The sequence below is a fragment of the Homo sapiens genome, chromosome 16, assembly GCF_000001405.40.
Source record: "Homo sapiens chromosome 16, GRCh38.p14 Primary Assembly".
Taxonomy (NCBI): domain Eukaryota; kingdom Metazoa; phylum Chordata; class Mammalia; order Primates; family Hominidae; genus Homo; species Homo sapiens.
Window position 1 is genome coordinate 12613023 of NC_000016.10, and position 11222 is coordinate 12624244.

Here is an 11222-nt window from a genome sequence, read left to right on the forward strand (position 1 = left end):
CCATCTGTAAGTCACCCTTCTATAGAAGTAAAATTGCCTTGAGGAAATTTTCAAGTGCTATTTCTTTTGTGGCATCAATAATTTTTAAGTGTTATTAATCTGTTCCCTTAACCAGAAACATCTAGAGGCCAAGAATAGCTACCAGTCCAGAATGCCGCCTCCCAAGTTCCAGCCTCATTTTCCTAGCCCTCATTCAGGACGGAGTTGCTCTGGTTCGAATGCCTCTGATAACAGACCCAAGAAGTTTCTTACTCATTCCCCCGTCTCCCCAAAGCCCACCCCCGCTGCTTAAAAAAAAAAAAAATTCACTGGGCTACTACATGGTGCTTGAGGTTGAAGTCTTTGAGCCTTGAGATTGTCATTTCAATGCAAATGTTTGTAAATTAGATGAAAGTCACAGATCAAGCCAGATAGAGGGGGAAGAATAGGGGATGTAGACCTTGGCCATGCTCCCAAGGAGAACGGCGGCAGACCAGCAGATGTTAATCATTAATCCGACAAACATTTCGATGCCTCTGCCCTTTGAACTCAAGGGCTGAAGGACAGGGACCAAGACAGGATGCTTGTTCCTTTTCTTTCCACGCCTTCCACCACCTCTTTGTTAAATATAGTGAACTCCAAGTTTCTCTTCAAAGAATCATTATGTCAGTATGTTCAGCTCTCTCATTCTTTGTTCTCCATTTTAACGTTTTTTGTGGTTTTCCTTCACCCCCTTGCCTCTAGATTCAGTGAGCAACTTTCCCACCAGTTCTAATCAGTAGTTCACATCTGTTCCACTGGTCACCTGCTTTGACCTGAGTCACCCTGGTCACCTGCTGTGTCCTGACTCATCCTTAGTCACCTGTTCTGTAACCGTCTTTCCTGCCAAGCTACTCACCCCCACCACTCCGACTCATACCCCTGGCTTTCTTTAAAATAGGCAATCGGAATTAGCTTAGACTGTGTGGTCCGACCTTAGCCAATAGGGGAATGACACAGCAGTAGGGGCTACCTACATCAGGAATAAAAACCCCTTCCCATCCCTTGTTCAGGTATGCCCTCAGTATTGCTCCACTCACGAGTTGCACCCTTCTATAGAAGTAAAAGCTGCAGAAAGTTAAATTTACATTTCAGTGCTATTTCTTTTATGGCACCGATTATTTATAACATCTTGGTCCATGAGAAGCCTTGTGACAGCCACTGTGTTTGGAATCCACTCTCCAAAAAGAAAAGCATCGTGCTCAGGGCCAAAGCTGCAATCATGCACGTGTGCTCTCCTTGGGCACATCGTCTCTTTTCAGACAAGGTTATGCATTATCAGTTTATAACTTGAAATCACAGAAAGAGAACGTTGATTCTGCAGTAACAGTAAGTGTTTAACCGTGTATACTAAAATCTTCATGTGAGAGTCGCAGTTCTCTCATGAATATACCTTGCATTTCACAGTCAGCCAAGTTGGCTCAAGACTCAGGGTAATAAACTCTAAATTACGGTAAGTCTTTAAGTTACATTGAAAAAACCACCAAAAAAAAGAACTTAAAGTCAGAAGAATGGAACCATTTGTCTCTTATCTACCTAGGACCTGGAAGCCCACCCCGCCCCTCCCCCACCGCGCCGTCGAGTCCTCCCAGCTTTGCTTCAAGTTGTCTTGCCTTTCTAGACCTGCCCCGTCTTTCCAGACCGAACCAATGTTCATCCAGCACGTATTGATGGATGTGTTATGTCTCCCTAGGAAGTGTAAAAGCCAGTTGTGTTCTGACCACCTCGGGCACAGGTCGTCAGGAACTCCTGAGAGTGTCACAGACAGGTGTGTTCAACTTTGGCAAAATAAACTTTCTGGATTAACTGCAACCTGTCTCAGATTTTCAGCATTTACAGATGTACACATGCTCACTCTAGAGCCTTTGCTCTTGACCCCTGGGTGCCCCTGCCTTTCACAGACACCTGTGTGCTTTCTGTAGGCAGATCTAGGGAATTCTCTGGCAAGAAAGCATTTAGGAACCTGCCCAGGCAATTCAGTGGTCAGCCAATATGGGGACTGGGAGTTAAATACTAGCTCTCTGCTTTTACCTACTAGTTACAACATTAAGTCGCTACAGAACACCCTCAGTTCACCTCTTAGTGTATCCTTTGAAAAAGGATACACTAATCTCTTTAAATGCATGACTGGTAATCAAATCAGATAATGCGTGTCAAAGCCTTTGAGTTATGATATGCACATATAATCCATTATCATAGTTCTAACAAGTACTTATCACTGGAAAATAGTAAGAAATCTTATTTTTGCCTAAATGGGGCCATCCCCCAAAGTATAAGAGAACCTTGTTACAGAAGATTTAACTACATTGAACGAGTCAGACCAGGCCTGGTGGCTCATGCCTATAATCCCAGCAATTTCGGAGGCCAAGGCACGAGGATTGCTCCAGTTGAGGAGTTTGAGACCATCCCCGACAAGATAGCAAGACCTTGTCTCTACGAAAGTTTAAAAATTAGCCAGGAGTGGTGGCATGCACTAGTAGTCCCCAGATACTTGTGGAGGATCACTCGAGCCCAGGAGATCGAGGCTATGATCTTACCACTACACTCCAGCCTAAAGCATAGGGTGAGACCGTGTGTTTAAAAAAAAAAAAAAAGTTGGGGGGTGGGGGGGTAACTCAGCATTGGAGATACCAAATGACTTCAGAAAATCCTTTTCTCCCATAAAGCAGAAGGGCCAAAGACCAGAAAAACATTAAAGGAGAAGAACCAGAAAACTAATAATACGGAGGACAAAAAAGAATGACGAAACCAATCCTTTCCCTAGTAATTGAAACAATTAACAAGGATATAGCTGAAGTAACTTGGAGCTGAAAATACTCATTTCATGGATCAGAAAGCATCAACAGAACAGGTGAAAGGAGATCTCTAGCTTGGCAAAGTTCTTATATAATCCTGCATATATCCAGGATAATAAAATGTTAACCACAATAGGCCGCAGTTTTTTTTAAAAAAATCCAGAATAGAACAAAGTTTAAAGGATTGAGCCATGACCTAACAATTTTATGCCACACGAAGCTACTGGTCTCATGTTTAAACAAGACATCATACAAGAAAGAAGAAAAAGTGACACTAACTCAGCCCTCTATATTAAAATGTGACATAAAGCTTGAATAGATATACTAATATCACCCTGCTCTAAGAATTAACCTCCGGTCAATAGCAACTGTATTAATAGCCTTAAGATGTCCCCAAGTATAAAGAACAAGAGACTCATGCTATCGTTTTTGGGTGGTGGGGATAGGGGAAAGACAGGGTCTCCTCTGTTAGCCAGGCTGGAGTACAGTGGCACGATCATGGCTCACTGCACCCTCAACCTCCCTCAACTCAAGGGATCCTCCTACGTTGACCTCCCCAGGCTTGAAAGATCCTCCTCTACACCTCAGCGTCCTGAGTAGCTGGGACTACAAGGCTGGTCTTGAACTCCTGGGCTCAAGCCATCTTCTCTCCCAAAGTGCTAGGATTACAGGTCTGAGCCCCTGCACCCCTCCCATTGCTACTTTTCAAAATTGCACTTGAGGTTGTAGCTTATGTAATAAGAATTTTAAGTAGCAGGGCGATACAAAATTGCAGTTGTTTACACATTATTCTCCAAGCTAGAAAATGGTCAGGAAACTGACATTTACTTTGAGCAGGGTAGTCCCATACTGTATCAACGTAAAAACGAACAAGTCAAATATACAACACAAAGCTTTTTAGAAACAATAGCCGCAAAGCTAAATCTTATTTTAAACGATCTATATAAAACTAAATTTTCACTAAATGACAGACTTGTATCACCCTCAAAGACTGTCAGTCAATTCTTCCCAAATTTTATGAACGTAATGCATCACAACCCTTGTTCCGTATGTCAATTCTTTGTAGAATTTGACCAACTTATTCTGAAACGCAGAAGAGCTAGGGCAGTTTTGGGAAGGGAAAAATAAAGGGAAACTTTGACCACTACAAACAAGAATCATATTACAAAGCTCTATGAAACCAGGGCAGGAATACATAAACCAAAGAATCAACACCCAAGTAGAGACAAAGGTTTGACAGAGGTTAAAGCGGGTATTTTCACATGAGCAGAGCAAGACTCAGTCTTAAAACAACTGCCTGTGCATCCAGAAAAACAGTACATTGGAACACTTGTCACACACAAAAGTGAACTTTAGCAAATCCTCGAACTATTTGAATAATGAAATACAATTTATAGACCTTGCACTATTAGACTTACAAATAAGTTTTTCAAAAACTATAGAAGAAATGACTGATGACCACAGTGAAGTGTTGAGGTTCTGCATGACAAAAATATGAACAAAGTAACACCAACATTCCAGAAGGTATTTGTAACTTACAGCAAATTGTTAATGACAAGGGTCCCCAAACCCCAGGCCACAGACCAAGAAACGTTCGTGGCCCATTAGGAGCAGGTGACACAGCAGAAGGTAAGCAGCTGGCGAACAAAGCGTCTGTATTTACAGCTTCTTCCCATTGGTCACATCACCACCTGAGCTCTGCCTGTCCATCAGTGGCAGCATTAGATTCTCACAGGAGAATGAACCCCTATTGTGAACTGCGCGTGTGAGGGATCTAGATTGCGTGCTCCTTCTGACAAGGTAACTAATGCCAAATGATCTGTCACTGTCTCCCACCTCCCACCTCCAGATGGGGCCGTCTAGTTTCAGGAAAACAAGGTCAGGGCTCCCACTGATTCTACATTATGGTGAGTTGTGTAGTTTCATTATTATGTCATAATTTTAAAGTACACGAGAAATGTAAGGTGCCTGAACCATCTCCCAAACTGTCCTCCCCTCCCACCAACCCCATCTGTGGAAAAACTGTCCTCCACACAACCGGTTTCCTGTTGCCAGAGTTTGCTGACTGCCAATCTACAATGTATGTGCTTTAGAGAACACCCCTTTTGTTTTTTACATTGGCTGAAACTGGTCAAGAAAATAGGCTTCTCTCCCCAAGGCCTCCCCATTTCCCAAGAAAATGAGATACTAATCAAAAAGTGGATATAAATAAGCAATTCACAGAAAATGCACTCACTGACCATATGAAAAGATGTTCACCTCATCAGCAATCAGGGGGCTATAGGTTAATGAAGTATTTCTAGCTATTAAATCACCAAAAGCTTAAATATGATCAGGTGTTCTCACACCTCACTTGTGGTCCAATTCCTATAACCGTTTTGGAGAAAATTTTGACAAAGAAATATGTGCATGCCCCAAGATGGAGCCACCATCAGTATCTCCGCTTGAAAAGCATTTACCCAAACATCAAGATGGCCTGGCCAGGGGCCTGAGCTGTGTGTAGTAAAGAAAAACAACAGGAAACCACCCAGATCGCGTCCAATTGATAGGATGGTTGTGTAAACTTTTATATATTTGGACCATAATAAACCAAGCAGTTAGAAAATTTCTCCGAGTATACTGATACAGCTGAGCTGCAAGCAGCGAAAAAACCAAGTTGCTGAATGATATGTACATGATACAGTTTATACCTAACAGTTGCTGAAAGCATAGATGTTAACGCATAGGAAAGGCCTGGGAAAGTGCACATGAAACTGAACAAGATCTGCCCCAGGGAAGGGGGAAGGAGACTGAGTCCTAGAATCATGGTAGGTGGTCATGGTACAGTGGGTAGCTAGTCAGACATGAGCAGGGAAGCAGCAGCCCCCATCCCCCCACCACCACCAGGAATGCCAGGGCACTACCAGGTCATGTTCTGGCAGTTGTTAATGGTCTGAAATAATTGGTCTCAGCCAGTGCCAGGGAAAGGCAGGCTTACAACAGATAGACACACCTGAGGGCGAGCACAGTTGCTCATGCCTGTAATCCCAGTTTGGGAGGCCGAGGTGGGTGGATCATGAGATCAAGGGTTTGAGACCAGCTTGGCCAACATAGTGAAACCCCGTCTCTGCTATAAATACAAAAATTAGCCAGGCATGGTGATGAACTCCTGTAGTCCCAACTACTCGGGAAGCTGAGGCAGGAGACTCGCTTGAACCCAGGAGGCAGAGGTTGAGGTGAGCTGAGATTGTGCCACTGCACTCCAGCCTGGGAAACAGAGCAAGAATTCGTCTCAAGAAAAAAAAAAAAAAAAAAAAAAAAAAAAAAAAAAAGACACCCTAAACTGGTCATCAACAGCTTACCAGTAAGATCTCAGGAGCTGGGCAAGTGGGCTCAAACATGCAGAGAGGCAAAATAGCAGAGTTTTAAACACTCGACTGGTAAGAGAAGAACACCTCAAGTGGGCTTGTGCACAGCTTCAGTAAGCACACTGGGCATGCTCCACTCCTAAGTGCTGACAGGCCCTGCACATGTGGACAGCCCACCCCAAGGGAAAAAAAAAATCAGGAAAGGGACCCAAGACCCCAGAAGCATGCCAACATACAAACCCATGTCAAAGATCAGCCAGTGCCCATCATCTCTCAAGTCACCCACTTGGCCTCCTTCCAAGTATACTTTACCTTCCTTTCATTCCTGCTCTAAAACTTGCCTTGGGCTTTCCTTCCACCATATGCCCCCTGGGTCAAATTCTTCTGGCTAGGTGCTGTCTCATGCCTGTAATCCCAGCACTTTGAGAGGCGGGTGGATCACTTGAGGCGAGGAGTTTGAGACCAGCCTGGCCAACCTGATGAAACCGTCTCTACTAAAAATACAAAAAATTAGCCAGGCACAGTGGCATGCACCTGTAGTCCCAGCTGCTGAGGCGGCTGAGGCAAAAGAATCGCTTGAACCGGGGAGGCAGAGGTTACAGTGAGCTAAGATCACGCCACTGCACTCCAGCCTGGGCAACAGGCTGGACTTTTTTTTTTTTTTTTTTTTTTTTTGACTCCTACCACCTCCCCCCACCCAAAACAAAAAAAAAAACCAAACACCTTCTGCAGGTGTTTACATTTGCTGCTATTAAAAGACTTTAGTCACACCAACAATCTTAAAAATCAAGACAAAGGATGAACCAACTGAGTAAAAACCCATTTAAAATAGAAATCTGTTTTGTCCCCCAGCTTTCCCATTAGTTGGATACTTACTTTACACTGCATTCTAAAAGCCCAGATGAGATCATCACCCAAGCAGTAAAAATGAAAGCATCAAAAAGGGTTCCTGAACATAGAGAAAATAGTTTATCTTTAATAAAAACCTTAACTTCTTTGTATCAAATAACAGAAGCCAAAAACCCAAAGGCAGAGAAATCTAGAAGAGCATTAAGTACATATGTAATATAGAAAGTTCTACAAACCAAGGTAGAAAAGACCAAGAATACTGTAATAAAATAGGCACACAATTTCCAGAATTAAACCAATAGACCCAAGAACATGTCTGACCTCACGTGGCAGGGAGAGAAATTAAAACAAATGGTAGAACATTTTTTTGGCTACCAAAATGGTCCAAATGAAAAAATAATGTTGACAAAGTAGGATGAACCATTCCCAGCAGTACTGTCCAAAGAAAATAGATACAAACCATATGTGTATCTTCTAACACTACCAGAACCCATTGCAGAAAGAAAAAGGTGCAATTTTAGTACTATATTTAAACACTATATCAGAAGTATTTCGAGTCACTATAAACATTTACGAGCTATTCACTTTTGGAGGGGTACTAATTCTTTCAAATTTGCCATGTGTCTTAGGCTCCTACTATATCTCAATCCAGATGCAAAATTTTACTACAAATTTAAGTTTCATAAAATTTTCCATTGAGAAGGACATTCATATACTTAAGTTGTTTCCAACATATTTAAGCTTCCCAGTAACAGAATGAGTAACAGGTCTTACAATTTATTCCAGAGTGGTTGAAATACAATTCAATCCAGTTACCTCGGTCACACCAACCTTTTTTGGGAGGTGGTGGTGGTTGTGAAGACAGGGTCTCACTGTCACGCACGCTGTAGTGGCAGGATCACAGCTCACTGCAACCTCCGCCTCCTAGGCTCAAATGGTTCTCCCACCTCAGCCTCTTGGAGTAGCTAAGACCATATGCATGTGCCACCATGCTTGGCTAATTTTTTAATTTTTGGTAGAGATGGGGTTTCGCCATGTTGCCCAGACTGATCTCAAACTCCTGAGCTCAAGTGAATATCCAATCTCAGCCTCCCAAAGTGCTCGGATTACAGGCTTGAGCCACCACACCTAGCCTTGACAACTCTTCAAGTGTATGAAAGCCACCTGTGGCTGGTGGCTGCCATACTGAAGGCTACAGTTCTAGAATAAGTGCACCCGCCCAACCCAGGTCCCGGCTACAAGTGGAGGCAGCTCTTTCCAGAGTTTCCCAAACCCTGATATCACCGTGCTGTCTGATCAACATTCCCTGCGATTTCCAGACTCAACCGTCCTGGCCTCATCCACAGGTGCCTTCCAGGCTGCCCTGTTCTTGCTGTGACTTTTGCCATGAGGCACATAGAGCAGTTTAGTCAATTGCTACCCTCTTCAGTTCTCACGCTGTAAATTGTAAACTATGGGAATAAGAATGATACTTAAAGCAACAGGCTCCTTTTACCAAGTAGACTGCATGCTAAATGCTTTGCATCCTTTGTCATTTGTACCCCTTTCTACTTATATGCAGGAAACAAGCTTAGAAAAGGACATCTTAGGGCCTCATTAGTAAGCAAAGAACCACTTGTCCTTGGAACTGGAGCGAACTGGCCCCAAACCCCATGCTCTCCCCCCTTCCTCACAGTTCTGGCCTAATTGGGTGTGCAATCTCCCTCCCCCAGTCACCCACAGTGGCTCCCAGCACTCCTTGGGGATTTGGGTCAGCGGGACACCGCCTAGGACACTGCTTCTCAGACATTAGGCCAAGATAGCACCAAGAAAAAGGAAACCCCCACATGGGAACCTACCCTTCTCTAGGTAAAGAGCTATTGTGCGCGATGCCTTAAATAGATGCTCATTTAATTATCACAGCTATTTCTCAAGTCAGAACTGTCATCACCATTTTACAGAAAACAAGTGAGTCAAAGGCAAACATCTGGGAAGCTGTGGGGCTAGGATTTGGTGGACTGCTACCCCAGCAGAAAACTGGGGATGCAGGGGTGAGTCCCACGAGGCAGGGTTCACCCCATGCCCCTCTTCCCGAGATGATCACAGTACTTGTCTCCAGGGTCTGTGGTCCTACCAGAGTCTAATCCACAGTATGTAAAGCAAGTTTTTTTTTTTTTTTTGGAGAAGGAGTCTCATTCTGTGGCCCAGGCTGGAGTGCAGTGGTACGATCTTAGCTCACTGCAAACTGCACCTCCTGGATTCAAGCAATTCTACCTCAGCCTCCTGAGTAGCTAGGATTACAGGCACCCACCACCACGCCTGGCTTTTTTGTGTTTTTGGTAGAGATGGGGTTTCACCATGTTGGCCAGGCTGGTCTCCAACTCCTGACCTCAGCAGATCCACCCACCTCAGCCTCCCAAAGCGCTGGAATTACAGGTGTGAGCTACCGTGCCCGGCCAAGAGCCCTTTCATTATCATGCACTTGACCCATGATGAGCCATTCTGGAAGCCACTGTGTTGGGATCATTCGGCCCCCACCTTGCTCTAGCAGTGCAGGAAGACCATCTCTATTTCCACACGCAAATCTCTTACAAGCCTATGGCCAAGGTGTTATCATTTCCATTTCACAGATTAAAACAATAACCAAGGTTACCATCGCATGTCTAAAACCACCAAGCAAGTCACCCGCAGAGTTGGGGCACTAAACCACACCCTGAAGCTGGGGTTTACTCTGAACACTTTTTAGGGGGAGGGGGGAAGGACATGGAGTCTCGTTCTGTCAGGAGGCTGGAGTGTACTGGCTGCAATCTCGGCTCACTGCAACCTCTACCTCCTGGGTTCAAACAATTCCCCTGCCTCAGCCTGAGTAGCTGGGACTACAAGTGCCTGCCACTACGCCAAGCAAATTTTTGTAGTTTTACTAGACACAAGGTTTCACCATATTGGCCAGACTGGTCTCAAATTTCTGACCTTGTGATCCTCCCACCTGGGCCTCCCAAAGTGCTGGGATTACAGGCATGAGCCACTGTGCCCGGCCTATTCCTTCATTCTTACAGGTGAACACCATTATCGGACACCTCCTGGGTACTGAGGCAACTGGGACACAGAAATGAATCAGACACGAACTTGTCAGAAAAAAACCTGAAAGCTTAAAAAGCAGCCCAAGATGGCTGTAGGTTGGACATACAGATAATAGAAACTAAGCCTATGAACGAAATCTGAACGCTGGCCACCGAGGCTGGAGTTCCTCAGCTACTTCACTGCTGTGCAACGGGTGCCTATCAGATGAAGGGCAAAAGCAGGAGACTCAGTCCTCCCTCTGCAGACCCTAAGAGGCCTTCGTACTTTTTATCATATATACTGTGAAAGGAAAATAAATCTCGGGGCCCCCAAATCACTGGAGAGAAAAGTCAACCTGCAAGCTGCTTAGGGCCAACCTGCCTCCCTCTCTATGTAAAGTCACACCTCTGCTCACCAAGATAAACGTGTATCTGATTGCCTACTTTGGAAAGATTAATCAGAAACTCAAAATGCAGCCAAGCAGGCAGTACAGTGGCTCACACCTGTAATCCCAGCACTTTGGGAGGCCAAAGTGGGAGGATCACCTAAGCTCAGGAGTTTGAGACCAGACTGGCCAACATGATGAAACCCCGTCTCTACTAAAAATACGGAAATTAGCCAGGTGTGGTGGCAGGCACCTGTAACCCCAGCTACTTGGGAGGCTGAGGCAGGAAAAATTGCTTGAACTTGGAGGCAGAGGTTGCAGTGAGCTTAGATTATACCACTGTACTCGAGCCTGAACAAGTGAGACTCCGTGTCAAAAAAAAAAACCACACACACACAACACACACACACAAGAGAACGCAACTGTGTCTTATCTAGGACCTGGAAGCCCCCTCCCTTCTTTGAGTTGGCCCACCTTTCCATTCAGTTTTAAGAAAATCACCTTCACTTCATTGCCCAGTGCAGGTTTCTCGGTTTCCACTAAGTCTGTGTTCCTGGCCTATCGTCCTCAAACTTGCCTCAGGATAGTTAACTTTCGTTTTTATCTATATATTGCCTGTTATGTTAACCTCTTGGTTTGAAGGTTCTGACTCCCAGGAAGTAAATCCCTAGCTGGCGACAGCTGGAAACATTCACTCATCACCAAGTTCCCAGGTGCTGCCTCCCTCACCTGCCACTTCCCAGGTGCTCAGTCCCAAACGGCAGTAACAGGTATCCTCTCCAGGTTGAA

The 11222-nt window shown here is 44.6% G+C and overlaps 3 annotated features.

The window, feature by feature from the left end:
- Positions 124 to 1323: an enhancer, noted in NCBI's record as "P300/CBP strongly-dependent group 1 enhancer chr16:12707003-12708202 (GRCh37/hg19 assembly coordinates)". NCBI's record gives its function as "activates an origin of replication core promoter dependent on BRD2, BRD4, P300/CBP, MED14 and CDK7 cofactors, with strong dependence on P300/CBP, by STARR-seq in HCT116 cells {active_cell/tissue: HCT116}" and the evidence as "EXISTENCE:reporter gene assay evidence [ECO:0000049][PMID:35650434]".
- Positions 454 to 593: an enhancer, noted in NCBI's record as "active region_10477". NCBI's record gives its function as "activates an Ori minimal core promoter by ATAC-STARR-seq in GM12878 lymphoblastoid cells {active_cell/tissue: GM12878}" and the evidence as "EXISTENCE:reporter gene assay evidence [ECO:0000049][PMID:35858748]".
- Positions 774 to 933: an enhancer, noted in NCBI's record as "active region_10478". NCBI's record gives its function as "activates an Ori minimal core promoter by ATAC-STARR-seq in GM12878 lymphoblastoid cells {active_cell/tissue: GM12878}" and the evidence as "EXISTENCE:reporter gene assay evidence [ECO:0000049][PMID:35858748]".